General features: G+C 58.9%; 2 protein-coding genes across 14 annotated transcripts in view, besides 2 other annotated features; one reads left to right on the forward strand and one right to left on the reverse strand.

Annotated features, from left to right (window-relative positions):
• MYL3 (myosin light chain 3) lies at positions 1-24311 on the reverse strand. 6 transcript variants are annotated; one of them, NM_001406939.1, is made up of 9 exons: positions 24203-24311; positions 8637-8729; positions 5391-5525; positions 3089-3116; positions 2805-2954; positions 1604-1777; positions 513-590; positions 360-401; positions 1-230 (listed from the first exon to the last, which is right to left on the reverse strand). In NM_001406939.1, exons 3-8 carry the CDS (start codon positions 5517-5519, stop codon positions 373-375), a joined length of 588 nt encoding a protein of 195 aa, NP_001393868.1. In that variant the 5' UTR covers positions 5520-5525; positions 8637-8729; positions 24203-24311; the 3' UTR covers positions 1-230; positions 360-372. The 6 variants fall into 6 exon arrangements, with proteins under 6 accessions (NP_001393868.1, NP_001393867.1, NP_000249.1 ...); NM_001406938.1 differs by having other exon boundaries at positions 8519-8729; NM_000258.3 differs by lacking the exons at positions 8637-8729; positions 24203-24311 and having other exon boundaries at positions 5391-5573.
• Positions 2425-2925: an enhancer, noted in NCBI's record as "H3K4me1 hESC enhancer chr3:46901786-46902286 (GRCh37/hg19 assembly coordinates)". NCBI's record gives its function as "activates a minimal SCP1, AML or CMV promoter by ChIP-STARR-seq in primed H9 embryonic stem cells {active_cell/tissue: H9 hESC(primed)}" and the evidence as "EXISTENCE:reporter gene assay evidence [ECO:0000049][PMID:30033119]".
• Positions 15383-16237: an enhancer, noted in NCBI's record as "H3K4me1 hESC enhancer chr3:46914744-46915598 (GRCh37/hg19 assembly coordinates)". NCBI's record gives its function as "activates a minimal SCP1, AML or CMV promoter by ChIP-STARR-seq in naive and primed H9 embryonic stem cells {active_cell/tissue: H9 hESC(naive and primed)}" and the evidence as "EXISTENCE:reporter gene assay evidence [ECO:0000049][PMID:30033119]".
• PTH1R (parathyroid hormone 1 receptor) overlaps positions 19850-27196 on the forward strand; it is a 26079-nt gene continuing 18732 nt past the window's right edge. For 4 of the 8 annotated variants that reach the window (XM_011533967.4, XM_017006934.2, NM_000316.3 and 1 more), the window contains exons 1-3: positions 19850-19972; positions 23191-23247; positions 25641-25763. In XM_011533967.4, the coding sequence (XP_011532269.1) occupies positions 25689-25763 (75 nt within the window). In that variant the 5' untranslated portion in view covers positions 19850-19972; positions 23191-23247; positions 25641-25688. Of the gene's footprint in view, positions 19973-23190; positions 23248-24123; positions 24214-24377; positions 24594-25640; positions 25764-27196 lie in introns of those variants that run through there. The other 4 variants (XM_011533968.3, XM_047448632.1, NM_001184744.1 and 1 more) reach the window with 4 other exon arrangements.

Consider the following 27196-nt stretch of genomic DNA (forward strand, 5'->3'; position numbering starts at 1 on the left):
GGAAGGCCGGCAAGAAGCCATTTATTCATGAGGCCCATGGGGTGGGGACAGAGCTGCTGTCACAGGTAAGCACAGCCTGAGAGGGGCCAGAGACGGCAACCACGTGGAGAGGTCCAAGGGTTTTTGCAGGAGTCTTGGTAAGGCTCCCCTCCTTCCCACGACTCCAGGCCGCTGGTGTCAGCATCACACATGGGAGATGAGACGTCCCTGCACAGCCTTCCCTGGGCTTCCTGAGAGCAAAGGCAGTGCAGATTACAGAGGAGGAGGGAGACGGAGGCAGCAGGATGTCAAGTGAGCACTGCAGCTGGTGGAGTGTGGGCAGGTGGCAGCAGCGGGTTCAGGAGGGAGTGGGTGCCTACCTGGGCACGAGGTTTAGCTGGACATGATGTGCTTCACAAATGCTGGAAAGAAGAGGAGAGTGAGTGGCAGGAGTGCAACATGGGGAAGCCATGGCTGGGAGCCTGGGTCCCAGCACTCCCCTCCCAGAAGACCCCTGCCCCTGCTGAGCCCACCTTCATAGTTGATGCAGCCATTGGAGTCCTCTTGCCCAGCCATCAACTTCTCCACTTCGTCTTCTGTCAGCCTCTCACCTGGCAGGAGTGGGAGGCTGAGTCAGCACCGTGCGTGCAGAGGCATGATGGGGTGGGGGCACCCACTGAATCCCTCTAGATGGTGGCTCAACCTCTCCAGTATTCCCACAACCAGCACTGTTCACAAGACCTTGGCCATCACCCCATTTCTGAGGCCAGGAGAATCAGTGACAAGTTAAGAAGGGGCCTGGGGTGCAGTACGTGCTGTCCTCTGTCCCACTAGGCTGGGAGGGGGTCCCTCCGCCAGGACGAAGCCAGGGCTCCCTAGAAGCAGTCCCTTGGGGCAGCCCCTTGAGGCTAGAGGAAGGGCCCATGGGGTGGAGTTGGGGATCTTGGGAGAGGGTGGTGGAGGGAGCCAAGAGACCACCCGCTGCTCCCCAAGTCTGGTATTCTCCTGCCTCCGTACTTCTGTGTGCTGTGCTGGCCCCCCTTCAAAATGCCAGCCGCAGCTCCCCCTTCTTACCCCCACCTTTAGACACACATGCACACACAGAGAGAGAGAGGAGAGAGAGACCAGCACGGAGCTGAAACAGTAGACACTCAAATGTTTGCTGCAGGAAAAAATCACTTTGAAGAGGGACCCCCTGCTGCAGGCAGCCGATGGTAGGGGTATAAGTGGGAGGTACACAGGGCTCCACAGAGGTCAGGATCCCCCCAGGCGGCAGGCACTTGACCTGCTTGACCACTTAGGGCTGTGGCCCTGGAATTTGACCTTGGAGTAATGACCACCAGGACGGTGGCCTGGAGTCGTGGGAAGGAGGGGAGCATATCAAGACGGCTCCTTCCTGCCCTGCTCTGTCCCCAGAGCTGATGTCATCCCCCTTCTGTGAGCTGCACCAGCATGCTTGCTTTACTCTCCTCCTAAGTAACATTTCTGTTGTCTGCCATTGAGGCTCCCTAATTATGTAACTCTCTCCATTTCACCAATGGGTCACAGGCCTGGGGGGCAACAGAGTGGTTTCTCCCAGGATGTCCCTGGAAGGAGTTGGGGTAGGGGAGGAGGCTGCCCTCACCCAGCGTGGCCAGCACGTGGCGAAGCTCAGCACCCATGACAGTGCCATTGCCCTCCTTGTCGAAGACCCGCAGCCCCTCCACGAAGTCCTCATAGGTGCCTGTGTCCTTGTTCTTGGAAATGTGCTGGAGCATAGGCAGGAAAGTTTCAAAGTCCATCATCTTGGTATTGAGCTCTGCAGAGAAATGGTCCCAGGTTCCAGGGTCTAAGGCTGGGGTGGGCACACCCCTCCCCCATGCCTGATAATGAGGAGCTATCCCCACCTCTCACACAGTTCTACAACAGTCTACACCAGTTCTCACAGCAGTCTACACCAGTTTGCCATTTAAAAGCAAACTACCATCGCGAGGCACTTTACAGTCTACTGAGCAATGCACTGTTTCCATAGCCCTTTGCTATTCACAAAGGGAGTTTGCTGCCCTGAGCCACCACGGAGGGCTCTGTCCAGAACCCCTTGCCTACTTTTGGGAAACAGTCCTCCCCTCGTGGCATTTTCTTATAGACCTCACCCTCCACCACCTGTGATTGGGTCAGGAGCAGCTAGGCCAATCAGAGACCTTCCCTGGGACTTTTGAACCCTTGGTGGGGGCTTGGGCCTCACTCCTTTTTTTTTTTTTAGCTTTAAAATTTTATTCATTTATGTATTTATTCATTCATTTATTTATTTTTAGACACGAGGTCTTCTTGTTACGTCACACAGACTGGAGTACAGTGGTGTGATTATAGCTCACTGCAACCTCAAATTCCTGGGCTCACGGGATCCTCCTGGCTCAGCTTCCTGAGTAGCTGGGACCATAGGTGCATGTCACCATGCCAAGCTAAATTTTTAATTTTTGTAGAGATAGAATCTCACTATGTTACCCAGGCTGGTCTCACTCCTGGCCTCAAGTGATCCTCCCAAAGCATTGGGATGACAGCATCCCACTGCCCACTGCTGTCACTGCCCGACCTTCTCACTTCTCCATAGGTGTCAGCGCCTACCACCAGGGGGCCTGGCAAATCAGCATGGATCCAGATGCTCCAGCAAACCATTACTGCATGTCACCTGGTCGGCATGGCCCTGTGACTGGCCTCGGTGCCCTCATCGGGACAATGCGAGATGTCAGGAAAGATTCTCGTGCTATCCCGCAGGATGGATGGCAGCCCACCCAGCCAGTCTCCCCGGTACTAACACTATGGGGGCTCTCGGGCAGGTGCACTACCTTCCTGTCTTGGCTTCCCCAGGACACGGAGCACTTCTGCCTGTGTGGGGTTCTGGCCCAGCGCCCGCAGGACATCCCCACACTGCCCGTAGGTGATCTTCATCTCACACTTGGGTGTGCGGTCGAACAGCATGAAGGCTTCCTTGAACTCTGCCAGGAGAGGGCAGTGAGCCACAGACACTCCCAGGGTCAGCCTACCCCACTCCCCACACCCCTGGCAGGACCCTCAGACCAGGGAACCCCAGCCCAATCCTGCAACCCCTGGGTTCAAGACCCCTGCTCACCTTCAATCTGCTCAGGTGTGAACTCAATCTGAAAAGAGACCCCAAAGACTCAGATGCCCGGCTTAAAAGGTGGGGCCACACCTCCTCCTGGGCACTCGGTGGCCAGCCCAGAATGTCAACTGTCTCAGCCTGTCCCATTCCAGCATCCCAGCCTGCACCCCCAGGACCTCCTGCAGTCCATCTTGACGCCCTCCTGCCTCCTTGCCCCCCTCCACCTCTCCAGCCAGAAGGCCTTGAGGCTGTGTGCACCGAGGCCCTGATGCTCGGTGGACCCTGGCAGGGGTAGCAGTGAGGAGGGAGGCCACATGCCCAAGGCCTCAGGCCAGCGTGGGCCTTACCTGATGCTCCCGGTTCTGGACAGATGTACCTTAAGCCACAAGCCCCAGTCAGGCTGGCTTTGCTTGGGGCCTGGTGGGCAGGACTGTCAGCAAAAGTGAGATGGGAGGGCCCAGGGTGGTAGAAGGAGTAAGGGCAATGGTACAGGCCGAGGGCTGGTGGCTGGAAGCATCGAGGGTGAGCACAAGTGTGCATGTTTGTGTGTGAGCATGTGTCTACATACGTCTGCCCTCACAGAGCCCCCTAAGCCCTAAAGACCAGGCAGTCACTCACCAGCCCCACTATACCTATTTCTCACACACCCTGTCCGTAGGTCCCTGGGAAGCTCCCACACCCCAGGACAGCACAGGGCCAGGGCAGTGCTGCTGAGTGTTTGCTGAAGTCACATTGGGGCCACCTTGATTGACGTCAATCAAGAGGCCTCCCGGGATCCAGTGTCCCCCTCCTCACCGGATACCAGGTCTATTTTTATCACTGCAGTCACTCGCCCCAAGGTCAAGGTCACACAAGGGAAAGGAGGTTGGGGGAGGGGCATGACTGGCGTCTCTCTCATGGCTGCTGCCACGGAGCCCCACCAATCTCCACAGTGCATGCCGGCACAGAGGGACACCCTGTTCAGGGCCACCCTACCATGACTGTCCCTCCTGGCTTCTGGCTTGACCCAGTGTTGGGAAGAACAGGTTGTCATTCCTGGCTCCCTGAGAGCTCTCTCCACCAGGAAGCCTACTGAGATTAGGGTCTCTGGGCTCCTGGCAAAGGCTCCCTGCCCTTTACCTGCAACCTGGGGATGGGGGAAGAGGGCGCATGAGGGGTCTCATTGTCCCCACCTCTCAGAAGGAAGTCTGTGCCAACCTAAGGCCTGGCGAGAAAGGACAATGCCACTATGGGCCGTGGCTGTGGTCACAGCCTCACCATGAGGCCTGCAGAATGCAAGCCTGGGACCTGGGTGGCCAACTCCAGGTGCATATACTCTGAATGGTTCCCAGCAGCCCTGCAAGAGGGGACTTGCTGTTCTGTTTCACAGCTGAGGAAACCACGCCTCAGAGCAGCGAAGAACTTGGCAACTAAAATGGAGCAGAGTTGGGATTTGAACCCTTGCCTCAAAGGACATGGTAGGTGTCTCTGGGAAGGGCTCATGAACAGGAGGCAAGACTTCACCGATGGAATGTAGGTCCTGCTGGGCATGCAGGGATGGCGAGGGTTCCACAGGGCTCCTGAGGAGGCAGCCAGGGCAGCAGTGGTCCCAGCCAAGAACAGGGAGCAGGCAGGACACAGGGTACGTGCTGCTATGCAGATACCACAGGTGGGAGTCATGGCTCCCTCCAAGTTTAGACTCTGAGAAAGACTTTGCAGTTGGGGAAGGGCTCCTGGGGCCACTGGTCATAGCTCCATGACCAGCTTCCTGCACAGCTTTCAGAATGTCCCCAGCCAGCTGATGCTTCAAGTTCCCTACCTAAAAGCTGAGGCCTGGAAGTGCTCTACCAGCTCTGGGCTCGGTGATTTGAACGAGACCCAGCCTGGACAGGGGCCCTGCTTCTTCTTACTCCCTATCTCATCCACGCTGGGAGCGTGTATGGACTTGGGACCCCTCAGCTGAACAAGGAAAATCCCTGCCTGGCTCCAGCTGACTCCAGGATTCCCCAAGGATGAGAAGTCCAGGAAGAAGGGCAAGGGAGAGTCCATTTCCAAAACCACTAAAAAGACAGTCCAGACTCAAACCCCAGTCTAGACTCCACCTTAGTTCTCAGCAGCACCAGAGGAGTCCTGCAGAACGTCTGACCACCATCCCTCCTGCTGCAGCCCTTCTGATGCCTGAAGCAGTCAGGGCTTGTCTGACCTCTGCACAGAAGCTTCCAGCGTCAGCTCAGTGCTCACCTCCAGAGCCTGACCTGCCTCTTGCTAGGTCCACTCTGGGATCCACTCACTTGCCCTGCTCCTATTGCCACCACCCAGCTTCCATACCCACCTTGATCTTGGAAGCATCAAACTCGACCTCCTTAGGGCGCTCAGGCTCAGGGGGAGGTGCGGGAGCTGGAGCTGCCTTGGGGGCTGCCTTGGCATCATCCTTCTTGGGCTCTGGCTTTTTGGGGGCCATTGGGGGCTGTAAGTACAGAGAGGGATGTGGAGAGAAGAATGCAGAAAGCAGGGTAGGTGAGCCGCCTCACCCAGGCCTTTATCCTGCCCGGATACCTCATGACCCCAGCCCCACCCCTGCAGTGCACAATAGGGACAGGGCCATAAAAGGATATGGCTAGGCTTAGGGGCTATTTTGGGGCCTGGGGAGGGCATTGTTCAGGCTCAGGAATGGGTAGTGGAGGAGGGATCTCCATTCCTCCCAATCACCTGTTGGGAAGGGGGAGGGAGAGAGGGGGACAAAGGCCACTGCTTAACACACACATACACACATACACACACACTCATCTGCACACCCGCACATACCCACACAGGGCCCTGCTGCCTCTCTGCAGGTCCGTAAGTTGAAGAGGTGAAGAAGGGTGGACCAAGTACATGCTACGTGTTGTGTTGGGGCCAGAAGGACTGGGATGATCTAAGGGCACCTCTGAACTTAAGCTCTCCAAAGTCCCCTGTGTCTGTGTCTGTGTCTATGACCGTGTCCATGTGGGGGAAGGCGGAAGTCAGCATGTGTCTGTGTGTGTTGTCTGTGTCTGTGTCGGGGTGTCTATGTGTCTGTGGGTCTCTCTGTGTCTGTGTTTGTGTGGAGGGGGGTCTGTGTACACCTGTGTGTATTGTCTGGGTGCCTCCGTGGTGGGGGGCTCTGTGCGTGCCTATGTGTGCTCCGTATCTGTGTCTATGTAAGGGATGGCCCGGGTGTCTGCATTTGTCTCTGTGGGTCTGGGTCTTTATGTGTGCGTGGTGTGTCTATGTGTCTATGTGAGTGTGTCTGCGGGTGTTGCTTCTGTGTGTTTATGTCTGGGTGTTTACATGTGTCTGTATGTGAGTGTCTGGTCATGGCAGGCAGCTGTAGCCCTGGCTATGGGTCCAAGGGTCTCCAGGAACCCCCACAAAGGGCAAGAGAAAGGATGCTGCTCCCTCTAGGGCAGTCGCCCCAGGCCAGTTCAGCAGCCTCCCTCTTCAGCCCCTGCTGGCCCAGGGACCAGTTTCTCAGCTTTCACCCCTAGATTCCTACTTCCCCTCTCTACAGGCCCCAGGGATGCACATTTCCCTACACACCCCAGGCCTGGCTCCCCACTGCACCCTCTGCCCAGAGTGCCCTCGCCCCCTCTGCCTGACATATTCAAGGCTTGGCTCTACTGGCCCTCTTCCAGAAAGCTCTCTCCAATGCTATTCCACTGCCACATGTTGCCCTCTGCCGACCCTTTTGGCAGGGGCTCTGAGAGGGTCTGCCTCTCTGAGGAACCCCAAGCTGCCAAGCAGGGTCTGCCCCAGTGCAGTGATGCTCATTCCCTGTTCCTACCACTCAGTGCCCACCCCCAGTGCCCATCCTGCAGTGCCCGGCCCCCAGGGTCCATCCCAAGCCCAGCCTTCAGCAGATGACAGTGACAGAGTACAGCCTGACGGGACTGCCACTTGGGGAGGTGGGAGGGCTGAGGTGGCACAAGGCTCTTCCCGCATGGGGACGCCAACAGTGGGGACATCTTGTAAACACATTGGGCTCTGTTCCTTGCCCAGCATCTGTGCCTGGGGGGTGGGAAGGAGGTGCTCCTGGTTACTTTTAAGTGCCTGGAGCCTTTGATAGAAACTTCAAAGCCAGGGATTTCCCTGGTGTGGCAAGGGGCTAAGCCTGAGGCTGAGAGGTGCTGTGGGGCCCAGGGCCTCTACCTGGCACGCCCTGCTGTCTTCCTACTGGGCCCAGTCCCTCTCATCCTGTCACTCCGCCTCACAGGGAGGGACAGCAGTCCAGGGCTGGGGCCAGCCCGCTCCTGACTGGAACACGTTCTGCCTCTCATCTGGAGGGCAGAACACCCACATCTGGAAATCTGACAACATCCGGGACTGGCGGGGGGGCAAGTTTTTCACTTTTCTTCCAAATGTTTGGCAACAGTATTGAGAAAGAAAGGGGTGGGGGGATGGTCAGTGGAGACGAGCCAGAAATACCACAAGAGGAGAAGACAGCCAGAGGGCCACACAGAGGGGCCCCGGGGAGGCCCCACCACCCAGGCCTGCCGACCCTCAGGACAACGGGCTCTGGAAGTCACACGGGAGCCCCAGCCACCCACAGACACCGCCAACAAGACCAATTTCCTTGTGTTCATCATGAGGGAAGCAGAGGGCCAGAGCAGAGGACATATACAGGGCCCTCTCTCCCATCTCATTTCTTTCATCCTCACACAATTACCACCCCTTGGAAACCACCCAACGTTGGCCCAAATGGGGGTAAGCCAGTGACAAGAGCATCCTGGGCCTCAGTGTCCAGGTCTGTGATCTGGGATGGGCAGGCTCATGCAGCCAGCCAGAGCCACATAGTGCCACCTTCCTCCACCTGTGTGTGGCAGAGTCAAGGCAGTGGCTTGGGCCCCTCCTGTCACACACAGGGCAAACGTGGTCCTGCAGCAGGGACAGGGTGCACAGAGCCATCCTCACTCCCTCATCAGGACCCAGATGAAGGCTAGGGCCAGGATGGTGACTGCCTGAGCTCTGATTCTGGGCATGTCCCTGCTGGCTTGGGAACAACAGTGCCCCAGGACTCACCCACAGGCCCACCCTCAAACCTATAACAACTGCCTAGCCCCCAGTAGGCACTCTTCAGGACCAGCCAGAGCCCTCCCAGGCACACCGAGACCAGGAGCAAGGCATGGGGTGAACAGGAGGCAGGAAGGTGGGCAGGGAGTTGGGGGTGGAGGGAGGGAGGGTGGGCAGCAGTTGGCGGTAAGAACAGGCCACACCATGCCTGGCACTTCCCTCTCTCTCCCACATCCCAACCTGAGCTTTGTGCCCTTCAGGAGTCAGCCTAGCAGGCAGGATCTGGGCAGGGCCTCGGGGGCCTGGAGAGCCAGGGCTGGGGGTCTGGGTCCTACTGCTTCAGCTCCCAAAGCTCTGATGTCTGAGCTGCAGCCCAGTGTGCTGCAGGCTGGCACACGCCATGTCCCAGAGCCCTCTCAGGCAGCCACTTACCTCTCCCTTCCCCCAGCCAAGGAGAATGCGGGGAAGATATGGGCCCTGACTTCTGAGGAGCCTGTGGACTAAGGCAGGAAAGCCCGGCCACGCCGGCCTTCTTCTGGGCTCTTGTTACCTGGCGTCTTCCGTGTGTCCGCCTTCCTATGAATGTCAGCCATCACAGGAGGGAGGAATGTTCTGCTCTTCCACAGCTACATTTTCCCAGGACCTGGTACACCACAGGCATTCAATAAATGCTGGATGAACAAATGTTCCAAATATCTCAGTTTACCCACCTCTCACAGAGGTACTGGAACCCCTTGCTAAACCCTGTCCTGGAGTGGGCCCGGAGAGATGGGGAGATTTGCCAACTGACTGACAGGAGCTCTGGCGGTGCAGAGGGCACTCTGGGACAGTAGTGCGGCCAGCAGCTGCCTCCAAGCCCACCCACCACTTCCCCATGCCCACCCCAATTCAGGCGTGCTCTTCACAGACTAAAGAGGTGAGGGTGACCCCTGTGGTACAGGCAGTGACTGGACCACGATCAGCCAGCAGGGGGCGCAGAAGGGATGGGAACCGACCTTTGGTTCCTGAACTCAAACCCCAGAACCCAGAATCCCAACCCAGACCCCAGATCAGGAAACCGGAACCCCAAGCTCAGACCCCAGACTCAGGTCTCACAATTTGAGTGCCAAACTCAGAACCCAGAACCCAGATTCCAGGACTAGACCCCACTGTGGAGACCTAGACCCAGATCCTGGCACCCAAACCCTGACCAAAGACTCCAAGACCCAGGATGGTAAACCCGGACCTTCAACCCAGACTCCGGACCCCAGACCCCAGACACAGGAACCAGGATTCTAAACCCAGACCCCAGATCCAGGACTCAAGCCCCAGGACTCTAAACCCAGACTTCCAGGACTGCAAACCCAAACCCCAGACCCAGGACCCAGGACAAGGGCTGACGGATTTCCAGATCAGCGTGGCCCTGTGTGGACAAGGCCAGTGGGAAGGGGCACCGGGGGGTCACACTCTTGGCAACAGCGGGGGTAGCTGCTTGGCAGACCTCCCTGGTAGCGTTCAGAAGGGCATGAAGAATGTCCATCATCCTGTCAGAGCCAATTTGGGGAGCTCAGACTATGGTTGCCACGTGGAGGGTGGGCAGAAGGAGGTAAGGGCCAGCTGTCCCCTGGGCCTAAGAGCCAGAGGCAGGGAAACAGGGTCGGGCTCCCCACGTGCCCTTGTCCCCTGGGCCGCAGTCTCCGCAGGCAGCCATGGCCCGCCCTGGCCTGCCGGTCCCGCCCCTCCTGGCCCACAGCCTCTGGGCTGGGACGCAGGCCCACACTTCCCGGAGGAGTCGAGAACACGGCCTGGGCCAGACCCAGAGCCTTAGAAGTAGGTCAAATGTTGCCGCGCAGCAGGTCCTGGGGACCCTGTCCTGGTGTGGGCAGGCCCGTAGGCTGCAGCTCACTTACCAGGGCCCACTTGTGTGTCCACATAGATGTGAACCCACCGCTACACACTGGACACCCATGAACACAGACCCCACGCGGGGCCCCTAGGTCCCTGTCCAGTTGCACAGATGGGGAGACCGTGGCCCCAAGGAGGCAAGAGCTGCCCAGCAATTCTGACTAGAGATGGCACGAGGCAGGTACAAGGACCAGCAGAAGGAGATAAATTTCTACACCATCCCATGGCCCTGGAGCCTCAGATGAAAGTCTGACTCCTAGGAGGACTTCCCAGCAAAGCCGCTCTGCCACTAACAGGATGGGGCCCACCTCCCAGAGGCACAACCCCGGGCCTTGAGAGATGGAAAAGAGTACCCAAGGGGAAGGCAGTAGACTCCCTATGCTCCTGTGACCCGGGCTGGTCCCTGCTCCTCTTGGCCTCAGTTTCCCCACCTGTACCATGGCCATGGGTGGGGCACTGTGATTCCAGGTTCAGAGGACAGTCTCTGCCCCTGAGTCCCAGCCCATCCTCACTACCCCCACACCACACACAGACAACTCTGTCCTCGAGCAGGCCAAACACAACCCTCAGGCCCCTCCCTCTGCCCACTGTGCTGACGGGGACCAGATGCTCCAACCTTGTGGTTCTAGGGGTGGGGGTGGCAGGGCCCAGCGGGCTGGCAGGCAAACCCTGGTTTTGGCCCAGGGACCTATAATCAGCTCCTGCCCCTCTGATCCCGGCCCAGGACTGACGCTTAGGGCTGTGGTGTCCTGGCCGGCTGTGGCCACGGCCGCTATATTTGGGAGCCCAATTCAGCATGAGGGAGGGGTGGGCAGGCAGAAGCCTCTAGGGACCCAAGCCTCATGGGGGACAGGATGGGGACAGCATTGGCCAGGCTTGGTCCATTCTGGAAGAAGGGCATGGCCCTGACTTCTCAGGGGCCTGGACTGGGGGACCTCAGCCCCACTCTCAGCAGCTAGTCTCAGGAGGGAGATTGAAAATGTGTCTGGAGATACTGCACCCCTGTTTAGTCCAAAGAGTGAGCATCAGTTGGGTCTGTGCATTCTGGGTGCATGAGATGGAGTCTCGGGCTGCCAAGGGTTTGTGGGAGCTCTGGATGGGTGAGGTTCGGGATACCGGGGTCTGGGATGGGAGGAGGGGGTGCCAATGTGCTAATCAAAGGAACTGAGAAAACAAAGGCCTGGGGCTTGGGTCAGGAGGAATGGAGCAAGATGCAGCCCTGAGCCCCAGCTCCCCAGCTCTGCCTGCTGGTCCAGCTTCCGGACAGGGGCCCGGCCCCTCCCCCCACAGCATGGCCTGTGGCCTCCCTGAACTGCCCTGGACATTCCCTGCCACTGGGCCAAACCCTGTACTCTCCCACCAGCAGCTTCCCAAAGAGCAAATATTTATTGTCCTTGGAAGAAAAAAAAAGACTCCCCTTTTAGGATCGGGGTCTGGGAGCTGCTATTGAGGTTTGCAGGGGCTCAGCAGCGGCCTGAAATGACCAGAAGCCCCACCTAGACGGGCTGAGGAAGAAAGGAGGGTGTTCCATGAGCCGGCCTTGGAGGAGACTGCAAAGGCTGCCCTGGGTGCTGGGCTGGGGCTCTGCCCAGCGCTGCACCCTGGGCCACATTCCTCCCTCCCCTTGCCTCCATTTCCCCAAGGTTTCCCCAGAATAGGTGTGAGGACATGCAGACACTGCCACACGAGGTGTGAACATGTGTGACTGGACGGGTGTGGATAGTCTATGTGTGTGTAACCATGGACAAGAGGATGAGGCCACACGTGTGATTGTGTGGGAGTGTGTCGTCTTGCGTGCTTCCACGTGTCACCATGGGCACGAGGCTGTGACTCTGCGTGGGCGTGAGCATGTCTGCGTGCTCCTGGCTCTGTGTGCATGTCTGTCTGCAAGCCTGTTCATCTGTTGGCATGGGTGGGGAAGGGGCATGTGGACACAACCTCTGTTGAATGGCCAATTCAGTCAAAAATGCAAGTAAATTTAGCAGGAGAAAAAAAAACCCGTCAGTCAGACGAGGAGTCTGAATTGAGTGGTTGTTTGAGTGGATGGACCGACTGTCTCAGGCAAACAGTTCACACTGGCTGGGAGGAGGAACCGGCTCCCCTGGGCCATCACGGAGAAACTGGAGACAGGGACCCTTGGCTATGGCAGAGGTGAGACACAGAGACTGAGACAGAGATGGGAGGATGGAGAGAGACAGAGAAAGAGAGAGATGGGGCAGTCAGAAACAGGGGGGAGAGAGGGTTGGTAGGAGGGTCAGGGACAAATGTTGCCCCAGGAAAGGATGTACCTTCCTGGAGCCTGCAGACACGTACGCATGCACACCATCATGCCACCCCTCACCCCGGCTCCCAGCCAGCATAACCCAAATTCATTCCCACCTCTCACCCATCCTCAAGCAGCTCCAAGTGGACAAGAAGTGGGCACCAGACCAGGATGCAAGGAGAGAGGGTGGGCATGGGCACCTGGACAGAGGGACAGGATGACAGATGAAGAAGGCAGTGCCGAGGACAGGGACAACAGTGATGGAGGTGAAGACAGGAGGGTGACAAGAAGGCCACAGTGGTGGTGACAGTGAAGAGGGAGTGCTGGCTGGGAGGACCTCCCTGACCCCTTGCAGACCCCACCTAGCCATGGTGGCCCCCTACACCCAGGGCTCTCCCCACTCTGCCCCCGCCAGAACCAGCTGTGGCCTTGCCTCCAGTGGCCATACAAAAATCCTCTGTGGCCCAGGGTGTGGATGCTGCAATAAAAATGGCCCAAGCTCCCAGCCAGGAATAGTTAGGGTCAACTCTGGTACCTGCCTGTGTGAGTATTTATGTATCCACCCTCCCAGTGTGGCTATGTCTGAAACACACACGCACTATCCCCAGGCAGGCTAACCCACCCCTGATGTGTGTCTGTCTGGAGATACCTATGGGCCCCTAGACACTCCCTACTCCACCTACTCCACCTTTGCCTAGTCCCTTTCCACCAGTACTGGGACAGCAGGAATCACACTGAAATGTGTGTGTGCACACGTAGCTTCCTGGAGCCTGCAGACATGCACTCAGGAATCCTGGCCCAAGGGAGCTTGGGCCAAGAGCAGGCACGCTGTACCACACACCTTTACCATATATCCTCATGCTTCATAGAAACCTTTGCATGCATGTTCACGCGCCTGTGCACACATATCCACACTCCTTTGTACACATATACTTTTGCACACATGTATACACACATTCACATGCCTTTGCATACACATCCATGCACTCTCCCACATACACCTAATGCACCACATCTTTTAGCTCACGGGTATAGAAAGAACACCCAGGTATAATTTCCAGGCAGAAATGAGCACTGGGAAGGAGGAGCAGGGCTGAAGGCAGCAGAAATCAGGGAACCCTACCAGGCCTGCCTGGCACGGTAGTGTCCGCATCTGTTTGTGTGTGAACGTGTGTGTCTGGACATTTGGGAGCTTTCCACTGCCTCCTCTCACCCCACCCTACCCTGTTCACAGAAGGGGAAACAGAGGCCCAAGCAGAGTAGCTGAGCCGGGAGGTCAGCGTCCTGGTTTGGGGCTTTCGAGCTTCAGCATCTGTGTTGTTCTTGGCACATCCGGGCCAGATAAGGACGGGGTCAGAGCTTGGCTCTCGTGGGAAAGGACTCTCTGGAAGGCTCCCGACCCATTCCTTTCCCAGATCTTGGACCCCAGTGCAAGCAGAGGGAAGACAAAAGGGAAGGAGAGATGGTTGGGAGACAGGCAAGCTCCCATCAGGTCAGCCTTGAGGGCTGTGGGGAGACCACAGCAGGTTCAGAGACTCACGGGTACCCAGGAATGTGTAATAACCCCCTCAGACCAGCACAAGAACCCCCAAATGCAGAGCCTAGAGCCTACGGGTAAGGGTGAGGCCAGGAGCCCAGCTCTCTGCAGCATCTGGCCTTGGAGCCCTCTGCTCCAGGGAGCCTCATGCGGTTTTAGAGCCAGGGCTGAGGTAAATACCTCTGTGCCCCAAAGGTCTGGAGCTCGGTTGGATGAGAAACTGTTCTGGGAGGACAGTGGAATGTTAGGAGACACTGGAGCATCATCCTCCCATCCAAAGCTGATGAGGGTACAGGTCCTGGGATTGGGGTTGGGTTGGCTGGGGAGAGAGAACTCAGTTCTGGTGCTGGCCCCTTCACTGACTCCTGGAACCTCTTCCCCTCTGGAGACCTCAGTGTTCACACCTGCACAGTGGGGCGAGAGTTCCCTAAAGGTGGGCTCAGCAGGTGCACGGTCCTCCCAGTGCAGCCAGGGTGGGGCATCCCTGGACCTGAGTGTCCTCCTTCCCCACTGCCTCAGCCTGTGCCCCTGGCCAGGTCTCAGTGAGGGGCAGAGGGCTGGAGCTTGAAGCCAAGACAACAGGGGAACAATTGGCTGGAATTCTGCATAAACAGAGGGGCTCATCCAAGGCTGCAGATGAGCTGGGAGGGGCTGGGGAGTTCCTGCGCCCCGAGGGAGCCCTGCCTAACAGTGAGCCCATCCATCCAAAGGGAGGCCCTGCCTTCGGGAGTCCTGGTCTGAGAGCATAAGCAGGACAGCCTCTGTGGGGGATTTAGCAGGGGATGCTGTAGGGCCCCAAGACCCCCCCCCTCAGCCCACCCCCAACCAGCATGCTCGTGGCCCCTGCCCCACCTAGAATCATTGGAGATACACCTCCCAGGGGCAGGAAAACAAGGAGAAACCATCATTGATTGCGGCTGCCAGAAGCCGTCACCACCTCTCAGGCCCCTCCTCGCCTGACCTTGGGGTCCAGAGAGAGGACATGCCAGTCTCCCCACTCCCATGGTCTCACAGCAGCAGCTGCAGGGACAGCCAGGCTGGTCTGGGATGGGGGTCGAGGGTGGGTCCTCTCTGCCAGCTCCAGGTTCAGCTGCTGTCTCAGGGTTAGGCTCCAGCTCAACCCCTGGGGCTGCTCCCTGGCTTTCTGAGAAGATGCCGTCAGGCAGATTCCATCTCATAACGTTTCCTGGAGGAAAACGTTCCGACAATGAGCGTTCCAACAATGAAGGGATCTGTCTCTGATCCTGGGGCCTGCTCATGAGGAAACTGAGCCTACCCATGGCAACTGAGAGACAAAGAGGTAAGGGAGCAGGGTGTTTGGAATCCACAGCTCTGGCCAATAGGTGTGCCCTCCCCCAAGAGATGGAGGCTTCTCAGCAGAGCCACAGAGATAACCTAGCCCCTGTCCTCAAGGGCTCGCCGTCTATTGGGACAGAGGCAGCAGCATATCATGCCGTGCTAAATTTTCTAGTCATACCAGGAGGTCTGAGGTCTCACTCTGCTGGGAGTTGAAAGGTGCAGATCCAGGAAGGCTTCAGAGAGGAGGGGGCCTTTGGAGGGCATACAAGAGCCACCCAGGCAGAGAAGGGAAGGACAAGTCAGATGGCAAGAAGTGCAGGGGCAGAGGCCAAGAGCTCATGGAGGGTTCAGGGAATGGGAACACAGGGCAGTGGGGCCAGGCAGGGAGTTGGCTCCCCCAAACTCTTGAGTCTCTGCATCTCCCAGCTGAGCCCAACACACAGTAAGGTGCAGGCAGGGGCCACGGAAGGCAGGGCTGAGCTTGCAGAACACATTGTTCCTCCTCCTCCTCTTCTTCCTCCTCCTCTGTTTGCGAGGTCATCACTTCCTTGCCCCCCTCCACCCCCAAGGAGCCCTGTGTGGTTACGCTTGATTGGAAAAATTGATGTGGGGCCGCTGAGTTTAAGGGCGGGGGTGGTCACCCTTCCATCTTGAACCCAGCTCTGCTCGTTGGGCCAAGAGTGGCTTCCAGAGCCAGCTGTGCTGAGAGAGGGTGCTGCTGTGAGGACAGGATGTACTGGATGGCCCTGAGTTCAGTGCTCCAGTCCCTTGCCTCCACAGCCCCCACACCAGCTCAGGAAAGGAGTGCAGTGGGACTGGGGGAAGCCTAGACCACTGACCTCCCCAAAAAGATCATGACTAGTCCGGGAGGCAGAGAGGCCCCAGAGATAGAGCAGAGGTCAGGGCAGGCAGGAGCTGGGTGTGTGACTTTGGGCAGAGGCCTGACCTCACTGGGCCAGACCAGCTGCCAGTGTCCCCTCCAGCTTCAGGGAGGCATCTGAGTTATGCCTAGCCACCTCCCGTTAAGCCCAGAACCTCCTCCACACTGGCGACCCACCTGTGCCCAGTGAGAGCCCTTCGGCCTCTTCCAAAGAGGCTCACCTCAGAGGGCACGGGTGTCGGAAGGCCTGGAGACTTGCTCTGGATGAGCGGGGTGACCTCTGGCATGCCATTGCCCTTCTCTGGATGTCGCTTTCCCATACACGGTTTTATAAACTTCCCTGAGTGCTTCCCCTCTCCAGCCAGTTCAGCCAATGTCCACGGTGCCTCTGGGCCAGGCTTGGTGCAGCCTGCAGGATGGCCAGGCAGACACAACCCTGATTCCAGCCCTAGAGACATTCCCAGTGTCCGCCAGCTCATTGCCTTGCCCCAGCCAGTGTCCCCTGAGGCATTTAGAGTGAGAGGAAACTGAGGCCCAGAGATTTGGCAAGGCACGACAAAGGACCACCCACATAGAGGGTTCCTCCAGGCCTAACAGGGCAGGAGTGTCAGGACTAGGGGTTCTCCACTCGAGGGCTCCCGGCCACAGCCCCCGGCAAGGACCCAGTGTCTGAGCTAACCCCCTCCCCACCACCTCCTCCTTCCTGGCCCCCTCCTCCCTTCAAACCGCAGGGCCCAGCCGGCCTCTGGAACGCGTGCCCGGGACCTCGGTGATATTTTGAGTTTAAGAAAACTTTGCAGTCGGCAGGAGCTCTTAAAGGTTATAAATAGCAGCAGCGGGAGCCCATGCAGGGAGAGGCGGAAACACGTGTCAAACACGCCTGGGAGGGGGTATTCCGAGGCACAGACCCCCCCCCACACACACAATAGGGACGCACTAGGCTTCTGGGGATTTTACAACCACTGGAGCGGGAAATCACACTCTACCCAGAAGGCGTCTGGGAAACAGGACCCGCTTTGGACCCCCAACCAGTGTCCCCAGTGGCTGGCCAGGTTGCCCGGGCATGTGGGGGCACTGATGAAAGGGGATCTGGTGGGGAGGCCTTTCTCCTACCCCACTCCCCGCCACCATGCCACCAGGGATCTCCCTCAGAGCTGCCCTTGGGAACAGCAGGGCTGGGGGTGGGTTTGGAGAGAGTCCACTCTAACCCGTCTGTGGCAGGGAGAACTGAAGACCTGAGTGGGGACAGAATTGTTACCAGGTCATGGGAAAGCTGGACAAGATTTGGACCCCCAAGCCACAGTTCTTCCCATTGAACACTGTTGCTGCCTCCCTTCCATTTCCAGGGACCACGGGACGGTGCTCTAACTCACCCAAAGAAAGCACAGAGATGGGCACAAAGGTAACAACACGCAACACTGAGGGATGCAGACCTGAGGGCCCCATCCCTCAGCATCCAATCCCAGTGCTTCCCCTTCCGGTGAAGACCTCCTGCTGAACAGATGAGGAACAGACCAGAGACTTGCCCTACTCCAGTGGGATGCAAGCCCATGCCCACACTGCCAGGGAGTGGACTGTCAACAACCCAAGGCCAGGTATGCAGCCTCAGCAAGGACATCAGCTCCGCTTTGGACACAGCAGTCTCAGCCTTGCCTTGAGGGTCATGCAATTTGAGGACATGCCCTCAGGAGCCTAGTCTGAGGAGACACCCTTCTGGGGCCTGATCTAAGAGAAATCAGTTTTGATGGCCTCGTGGCCATGGAAGGAACCCTTCAACCTCCACCACCTCCCTGGATTTCCCAACTGCTCCACAATGTGCATGGGGCAAGAACTGTTACGACGCTGCAAATACCTGGAAACTCAGGCGAGTCTCAGGCTCCCACCCACCATCCCACTTATGCCTCACTCATGCCCCACCTGCTGCCCACAGCTCCCAGCAGGTCTGGGGGCGGCATCCAGCCTTGGCATCCAGGCGTTCTGAACCTCAGGGAGCCCCAAAGGGTTTATGGGTCTCCCAATGAATGGGAGCCTGTTGAGCTCGGAGGGGGCCGGGCCCGAGTAAACATGGCTGGGTCTGAGCTGCCATTCTCCCCCTACCTCTTCCCCAGAACCCAGGACCAAAATACAACTTCCTGTCCCCGGAGCTGAGGGCCAGACTTGCCCCCCAGAGCCCTGGGCTGGGGCCCACAGGAGGAACGCAAACTGGCAGGCCCAAGGCTCGAGGAGAGAAAGGCCTTCAGGTTTTCAGACTCCCAGGTCTGCTTGCATCCAAGACCCAAGTGCCTGGGCACTTTACAGATCCCCTTTGAGCCTGAAACTGCCCAACTGTTAACAACAGATCAGGAAACTGAGGCCATGAGCAGGAAGGCGTCTGGCTCAGGGATCCACAGGTCAAAGCAGAAAAGGCCCCAGCCTCCTGCTTCCCTGGCCAGTGAGGATGGGGCCTGTGGGCAGGGTAGGGCAGTGCATGTGGACTCAGGGGAGGTAGAGGCTCTGGCAGTCAAGAGCCAGGGCAACAGGGAGGCTTGACAGAGCACAGGGGAACTCTCCCTCCTTTGGGCACAACTGCCCACTGACCTCCGCTGGCCTGGTCACAGAATAGCCTACGTGTCCCAGGATACCCCTTGGAGCAGTGCACTTCAGAGTAGCTGGGGCAGGAGTCCCATAAGTGCTGTTTGTCATAGTTTCACTATGTCCCCTGGCCAGTCCATTCTGCTCTTTGGTCCCGTTTCCTCCACCTGGAGGCCAGGTATCACCGAGCCTGCCTCCCTGACTAACTTGTGAAACAAAAAGTACTTTGGAAACTCTAATGAGTGGTACCCTCCCCAGGAGCCTGGAAGACCCAGGGAGGGGGGCCCTAGGAATGTGCCCAATGGCTGGGGGTGGTTGGGGCCAGCTGCCTCACATGCAGGGCACTGGGGGCTACAGCTGGAATGTGCTGAGTGGCAGCTGCCACGTGAATCATTATACCTCATCAGGCTGAGCCTAGGACTTCCAGACACAAACCAGCTCAGACTGGGCTCAGGCAGAAGGGCAGCCTCCAGCCGGGTCACAGGGCCTGGGGGTGAGGTTTCTGGGATCTTGCAGGGTCTCTGCCTCCCTGTCTGCCCACATCTTCATCCTGAGCAACCAGCCCTGGTTCTGAACACAGCTCGTTCTACAGACCCACAGAGAGAAGTCATCCTGTCCACAGCCCCCTGCCTTTGAGACCTGTGACAGCTTAAGCAGACCCTGGGCCTGGAAGGGCCTGGGAGGCAGATAGGGAGGGCTTCCTGGCTGACTCCTCACCAGGAGCCCACATTCCAGTGGGCAAGGAGTCAGATATGAGGTGGCTGTGGGGCTGTAGGGGTCAGGACACGGGCTGGAGTGGAATGACGGCCCCCTCCATCTCTTCCGTCTAGGAGCCACTGGGTACCCAGTGCTGGCAGATCAGGCTTTCTTGGGCCTCAGTTTTCCTGCCTGTGACACAGGCAAGAACCACCTCCAGCCCCCCTCTGATTTCTCTGGGTGCCTTAAACTTGAGTGAAGTCACTAGTAGGGGCTGTGTTCATACCTCGTGGCAGCCTGATATTCCTGAGATGTGGAAAGGACCAGAGGGTTAGACAGGGACACAGAGACTAAGAGAGAGGCATGGCAGGGCAAGGAGAGGACTATTGAGGCACACACACGTGTCTGGCAGCCTGAGTGGGCCCAGTTACCTGGCAGGCAGACCCATGGGTGCTGAGGGGAGGGCCCAGCCCTGGGCATCTGAACACCGGCACACTTGGATCTGCCTCTGTTGCCTCCTACTCCTGACTAGGAGCCTGGGACAAAGTCCTGGGCCAGTGTAGGGCTTGGTAAAAAATAATTAATTTTCTTTTCAAGTGGAAGCTCTGACTCAGGTCTTTTCTTGTCCCCAGCAGCACTATCCTTGCTTAGGCCTGAGCCACAGAAGCTGCTCAGGGACTATCCATGGCCTCCCCGTGGCCAACTTGAGTCTGCTCTGCAGCTTTAGGCCCGACTTGGAAGGCCCATGGGCTGCAGGTGAGTGGGGGCCAGGGGAGCCTAGGGGCCTGAGCACAGCTGGGAAGCCCAAGTCTGTGGTTTCCCTGGGGGTGAGTGTCTAAATACCTGGGCCGTGCTATGGGGCAGACAAGACATGCCCGCATGGAGACACATCTGTGGACCTGGTGTTATGACAGCAGGGGGCTTGTAACCATGAGGCCAGCAGGGACAGAAAGCCCATACCTCTAGCTCCTTGGGAGCCTTAGGAGTGCTCCCTGGTTGGGACAGAGCCTGCTGGCCCCAGGTGCCCCCATCGCCCCTCCCTTCACCTTCCTGAGAGGCAAGAAAGCCAGGCAGCCATGCTTCTGCTGCAAGGGAAGGGGGCTACCCAGCCAGCTGCCATGGGAGCCTCCAGCGACTCAGCTGGGTGTCAGGGGGTGTTTATGAGCAGCCGAAATGGCTGTAAAAGTGGCACCTCGCTTCACTTATGGCCTAGCCATCCCCTCCCCTACTGGGCTCTTGCCTCAAAAAGTTTCCAGAGGGGCCTAGAAGCCGAGAGAGGTCTGGGGTTGAGGGCTGGGTGGAGGCACAACCTGGGGTCAGAGTTCAGCCAGGGGCTAGAAATCAGACTGGGATAAGAACTCAGCCTGAGGCTGGGGCTCATGATGGAGATAGAGCTCAGTCTGGGATCAGGGCTAAGCTTGGATGCAGCCTGACTTTGGGGCTAGTGTTGGGATGAAGCACTGGGGAAATATAAGGACTCAGAAATAGATGTGAGCCATTAGTCCCAGAGAACCCCTGGTCTGGCCAAGGGGTTTTCTGAGGGAGGAAGGCCAGGCTGCATTGCTCAGACAGCTGAGCCTCTTGCCTTGCTTGTTGGTGTCTGATGCCCACCCTGGCCCCAGGGTCTGTGTACCTTGGCCAGAGCCCTACTCACGGTGGGATGGCTGCAGCAGAGGCCTGTCAGCCTGGGGCTGCCACACCAGCAGGGGTGGGGCCAGAGTCTGGCCCCTACTGCAGTTCTGAGATCCAGTGACCACCCTGGCTCCTCCTCCTAGGCCCCAGCCTGGGGATTAGAGACAGGGACTCACTCCTACTCCCCACCCCCAGCCAGGCCTTTTCAAACCCCATTGAAACTAACACTGACCTGACACTAACCAGAAACTGACTCTGAGCCCCTGGGGCGTGCTTGTCAAAAAGGGCAAGCTGACTCTGCCAGGTGCTTGGGTGCTACCAGTTAATGTGTGACACCCCCACCCTCATGGTAGCACTTTAACCAGAGGCCCGAGGGTGAGAGAGATGATCTGTGGCCCCACCCACAGCTGTGGAATGTCCAGCAGGGGACTCTGGGGTGAGGCACATGAGTTATGGCAGGAGGAATGCCCTTAAGGGACCCAGCACCCATCAGATTCCTCTCTGCAGCCCTCTCCACAGCCCACCCTCATCCTCCCAAGTACAAGTAGTATGTTTCCAAATCTCAAGTTTTCCCTGGTGTCAGATCTGAAAAGAACTCCTCCCCTCAGCCTCTAGTTTTATCTCTCAGTCCTTCCAATCCCTCCATTAATGTTCTTTTCTCATCACCAAGGGGGAAAGCAGGGTGGAAGATCAGTGGTCACAGAACCATAAAACTTAGAGACACTTAGAAACAGAGGCATAGGCCAGGTGCGGTGGTTCATGCCTGTAATCCCAGCACTTTGGGAGGCCGAGGCAGGAGGACTGCTTGAGCCCAAGAGTTGGAGACCAGTCTAGGCAACAAAGTGAGACCTCGTCTCTACAAAAAAAAAATTTTTTAATTACCCAGGTGTGGTAGCTCATGCCTGTGGTGCCAGCTACATGAGAGGCTGAGGTGAGAGGATTGCTTGAGCCCAGGAGGTCAAGGCTGCTGTGAGCCATGACCGTGCCACTGCACTCCAGCCTGGGTGACACAGCAAGACCCTGTCTGGGGAAAAAAAAAATGCTGCGTGTGGTGGCTCACGCTTGTAATCTCAACACTTTGGGAGGCCGAGACAGGATCACTTGAGGCCAGGAGTTTGAAACCAGCCTGGCCAACATGGAGAAACCCCATCTCCACTACAAATGCAAAAATTAGCCAGGCGTGGTGGTGCACAACTATAATGCCAGCTACTCAGGAGGCTGAGGCCAGAGAATTGCTTGAACCCGGGAGGTGGAGGTTGCAGTCAGCCGAGATCGCACCACTGCACTCCAGCCTGGCCAACAGCCCTGTCTCAAAAAAGAAAAGAAACAGAGGCATAATAAAGCTGAGACCATTAAAATATAACACTGAAGAACCACAAGTGTTCTTTAGGTGCCCATTCTGGCACCTGGGCCTCCGTCCCAAGGAGGCTACATACCATAGGAGGCAGCCCTGAAATCACAACCTCCCTCCCCAGTAACGGAGGATGTGGGCACACAAGGAGGGAGGGGAGTGTCCTTTACACCAGGCAGAAGAGTATGATCCTGGCAGAGGAAGCAGCAAGGACAAAGGCAGGAGAGTGGATGTGTGAAGAAGACCAGGAGTCTAGCAGACAGTTCCTGTTAGGGAGAGTCATTTTTGGAGGAAACTGTCTCAAATAGCACAGCCCTTGAACACCAGAAAAAGAAATGAGGGCAGTGGGCACAGAGAAGGGAGGCAGCCATAGAAATGCATGGGGAGGGCCAAGGCTGGTGGTTCATACCTGTAATCCCAGCACTTTGGGAGGCTGAGGCAGGTGGATCACTTGAGGTCAGGGGTTCGTGACCAGCCTGGTCAACATGGTGAAACCCCGTCTCTACCAAGAAATGCAAAAATTAGCCAGGTTGGTGGTACACACCTGTAGTCCCAGCTACTTGGGAGAATCACTTGAGCCTGGGAAGCGGAGGTTGCAGTGAGCAGAGATCATGCCACTGGACTCCAGCCTGGGTGACAAAGTGAGACTTTGTCTTGAAGAAGAAGAAGAAGGAGAAGGAGAAGAAAGAAGAAGAAAGTAGCAGCAGAAGAAATACATGGGGAATGCACCTGGGAGTGCAGTCTGGAAGCTGGATGGGCTTGAGCCAGCAGAAGGGTGGCTGCAGCTGGATCCTAGGCCTTAGGACTTGGGCTTGACAGATTTGCACTGAGGGTTGGAGGGCAGGTTTGCAGGCTCCGAGGAGCTCAATATCCACAGGCTGAGTCTTGAGAGCCCCTGGAGCCCATGGGCCAGGATGCCCACCCTCGTGGAAACTAAACAGTAAAGTTAACATTGCCCTTGAATCAGCTGGCCAACCTCTCCATTTTGCAGATGAGGAAACTGAGGTCCAGACAGCCGAAGAGTGGTAGTGTCCAGGACACACAACTGGTAAGCGGGCAAGCACAGGCTGTTGCTTAGCCCAGACTCATTTCCCAGGGCCTCATGCATTCGCTTCCTCCGCGATCCTTAAAGCCCTGCGCTCCAGGCATCCCCAGCCCCTCCCTCTGCCTCAGTTTCCCCACTTGGTACCGGGAGGTGGTAGGTTTGGGGTCGAAGGGCCCCTCCTCTTAGAGCTCCAGCGTGCCCTCCCCAGCCAAACACAGAAATCCCGCCCCGTTCAGCCCCAACCCCCGCGGACTCCTCCTTGCCTTCCCCTAAGTCGAGGGTCCCAGGCGGCCCGGTCCGAGCCGGCCGATAGCTTTTGGGAGTGGGGGTGGGAACGGGGGAGGGAGGTGAAGCCTGAGAGTGGGTGTCTGGATTGAGCCCCAGGTCTGGCAGCCTCGAGCCTCCGGGGTTGGGGCTGGGCAAGCTGGAGAGGCCCGGCCAGCAGCTGAATGGGTCGAGACTCGGAGACCCGGACCCGAAGAGACGCTGGGCAGGGAGGGAGCGGGATGTGTGGCTGCAGACCTGGGCGGGGGTCGGGGCTGGCCTAGGGCCGAGAGGAACGACAGGCCTGGGATGGGACTGAGGGCAGGGGACGAGGCGAGGGTGGGGCTGGACGTGGGGGAGGGCGGCAGCAGCCAAGCCGGGCTCGGGGCTGGCAGCCGAGCGGCCTCCCCAGGGACCCCGACCCGGCCCGAACGGGAGCCCAGTGGACTGACAGCGTCGCGGCCGGGGGCGCGCGGGGGTACCGGGCAGCCTCCTCAGGGGATTCGCCCATGATGAAAGAGGGCTCGCTTCTCGGCTCAGGGTCTCTATTCGCCAGCGGGGGCCGGATGATCAAGGGAAAAAAAATTTAAAAGCCCGTGCTTTCCAGAAGAGAATGAAGCGGCGGCGGCGTCCCGGGTTCCCTGCTCGGGTCTCGATGTTACAGCTGCCCCCGCCCCGTCTCCCCAGCACTCACATCCCGCCGCCGTAAGACTCCGGGCCTCGGCCTCTAGCGCAATGTCCCGGGGCGGGGGGCGGAAGGCTCCTCTCGGCCTCTCCACACTCCCGCGTCGGCGGCTGCGGAGGGGGTGGGGGCGGGAGAGGCCCGGGAGGGCGCGGGGGAGGGAAGAGGCGCCCGGCCGGGGAGAAGGGGAGCGGCAGACGCCGAGGCGAGGGATGCGCGCGGCGGGCGGTGGCTCCGAGCGGCGGCCGGGCGGGGGGCGCTGGAGGCCAGGCCGGCCAGCGGGGGGTATCCCGAGAGCTCCATGAAGTCCCCCCGGGGCCGCGGACGGGGCGCTGGCTTGGGGAGGCTGTCGGGGGGGCCCCGACATCCATGGCAAGGCGGGGGCCGCGGCGGCGCGCTCGGAGTAAGTCGGGGCTGGGGACCCGCGCCGAGGGGAAGTGGCCGGAGTCGGGGAGGAGCGACTCCGGGCCTGGCCGGAGCAGCCAGGCTGCTCTGTCTCGGTGTCAGTCGGCGGCGCCTCCTCGGAACCCGGGGGAGTCGCCAGCCCCGCGCCGCTCGGCTCGGTGGCTTTTTTGGAAACTTGCAAATGTTTTCGTAGAGAGAAAAGGGGGAGGGAGGGAGCGAGGGAGTGACCGAAACGGAGCTTGGGGCCGCTGGAAGAACTGAGGCCAAGGCCGGGGGAGCTAGAGACGGACTGACAGACAGGCAGACCGACAGAGCGTCGGGGCCGCTGCGCGCCCGAGCCGCACAGGCGCAAGCGGGGCTCTGGCCAAGGATGGGGAAGGGGTGCGGGAGGCGGCTGCCGAGGGTCTGGGATCTCAGGAGGCCGAACGGCCGGGGGCTGGCGGCCGGAACACCTAAGGGCTCAGTGTGGCTGCAAAGTTGAGATCGCACCCCCTAACTGCACGCCCCGCGCGGCTCAGAACGCGCCCCCTGCCCGGCCCTGACTCCCTACGCCGAAAGTCGCGGAGCTAAAAATAACAGTCCTGCGCGCCCCCCGCAGACCGCGACCCCGACCCCTCCCCCGCCCCCTCCCCCCACTGGGCGTGGGGCGAAGCCACAGCTCCCATTTCCCCAAAAGAAAAAAAAAGAAAGAAAGAAAGAAAGAAAGAAAGAAAAGGCGGCGCGGGAGGGGGGCGGGGGGCGGGCCGGGGGCGGGGGGCCCGGCCATATGGATGTGATTTCTTCGCTCCGAGGCAGACGGGCCGCTCCGCAGCGCTCGGCGCCCGCCCGCCGCCCGCCCGGCCTCCGGCTCTCCCTCCCTCCCTCCTGTCCCTCCCTCCCTCCCTCCTTTGCGCTGCTCGCTCGCTCGCTCGCTCGCTCGCCCTCAGCGCATGGGCCCCGCGCCGGGCCCCGGGGCCTCGGGCCGCCGGGACGCCGGGGTCCCATAGGCCGGGGCGTGGGCGGGGCGGCCAGCCTGACGCAGCTCTGCACCCCCTACCACCACCAGGGCCGGCGGCGGCGGCTGCCCCGAGGGACGCGGCCCTAGGCGGTGGCGATGGGGACCGCCCGGATCGCACCCGGCCTGGCGCTCCTGCTCTGCTGCCCCGTGCTCAGCTCCGCGTACGCGCTGGTGAGTCCCCCGCCGCCAACACTCCGGGACAGGCTGCGGGCTTACCCTAGGGTCCGCGGGATAGGTCTAAGGCACGCAGTCTTGAGTTCCCCCAGTAGTTCGAACTTTGGGTGAGAGTCCCCTCTGATCCAGGATCCTGGGTGCCTGCTGTCTCTGGGATGTCTGGACTGTGGGTTCCAGCTGCCTGAAGCCTCCCTATTTCTGAAGCCTCGTTTGGGGTCCCAAATCTGGCAATTTGTGGTTGAGTTTTCACCATCCTCTGCTTCTGTGAGCACCATGGCTGTTTCTCCCTGGAAGATGACAGTGTGACCCAACAGAAGGCTGGGCTTTGGCCCTGCTGCGTACTCCCACAGACTTTGCTTTGGGGACCTCTGTTTTCTGCAAGTTTTGTTGCAGTCCCGGACACAGGGAATGTAGGTCTGAGGTCAGAATCATCCAGGCAGGGGGTAGGATTTAGGGGCCCCCTCCAGCCCTCACACACACACATGCACACGTCTGGCTTCACCCAGGGTAGAAGCTGTTTCCCCAAGGAGGTGGGTGTGGTGTGGCATGGAGAAGGGATGGAGTTCCCTGAAGGAGACTGACCTCACAGTGCACCCCTGTAGGAGAAGCACAGCATATCCTGTGGGGAAGTGAGGAGACCCCTGGAAAGACTGTCACTCCCTGAGAGTGACCTAAAAGCAGAATGGTAGGGAAGGCTAGAGGGAGAGGAGAGACAGAGACAAAGCCGGGTGGGGAGGAGAGATCCCCCCAGCTGGAGGGGTGGACAGACTAAGAACAGCAAAAAAAATAGGGAGACAGGCAAAGGCAGAAAGCTGGAGACACAGAGTGGGCAGCACCTCCTCCTCCTGGGCCAGGGTCTGGGGCCCACTTGCTGGGAAGGGGGCTGTCCCAGCCCCTCAGTCCTATTCCACAGCAACCCCATCCCCTGGGACGAGCCCGTTCCTGGGGAGGCTGTCTGCCTGTGCGCCTAACTTCAAAGCCTCTTCTCCCTGCTCCCCAGTGGGGGTATCTGCCTGCTAGAGAGCAGGGCAGTCAGGCAGCCTCCTCCTCCTGACCAGCAGCAGCTCCCTACACGGGGCAGAGCTCCAGGCAGTTCCAATGAGCCTGGGATTCCTCCACCTTTGCATGATGCCTGTGTAAGCCTGGGCTGTCCTTCTCCGTGCCTCAGTTGCCCCATCTGTAAAAGAGAGGGCCTGGAAGAAACATCTGCCTGAGAATCCCATCATCAGAGGCTCTCCCTTCCTCTGAGGTCCTCAGCACTTCCCACTTACCTGTGCCTACACCCTCACAATTCTGGCCCCAGCAAAGGCTCCCCACCAAAGACAGCCCCATACAAGGCCTTGTGGATGGGGAAACTGAGGTTCAGAGGAGCTCAACACCCTCTGCAGAGACACTCCAAGTACTGACGAATGCCAGGGGATAGAACTACC

Source organism: Homo sapiens, chromosome 3, assembly GCF_000001405.40.
Source record: "Homo sapiens chromosome 3, GRCh38.p14 Primary Assembly".
In the NCBI taxonomy this organism is placed as follows: domain Eukaryota; kingdom Metazoa; phylum Chordata; class Mammalia; order Primates; family Hominidae; genus Homo; species Homo sapiens.

Excerpts from the sequence above, each read along its gene's own strand:
- MYL3 (NM_001406939.1), bottom strand. The coding sequence starts at position 5,519 with ATGGCCCCCAAAAAGCCAGAGCCCAAGAAGGATGATGCCAAGGCAGCC. Across the intron at positions 1,778-2,804 it reads GGGGAAGCCAAGACAGGAAG|AGCTCAATACCAAGATGATG; the intron begins GTAGTGCACCTG and ends ATTTCTCTGCAG. Across the intron at positions 591-1,603 it reads CCACGTGCTGGCCACGCTGG|GTGAGAGGCTGACAGAAGAC; the intron begins GTGAGGGCAGCC and ends CACTCCTGCCAG.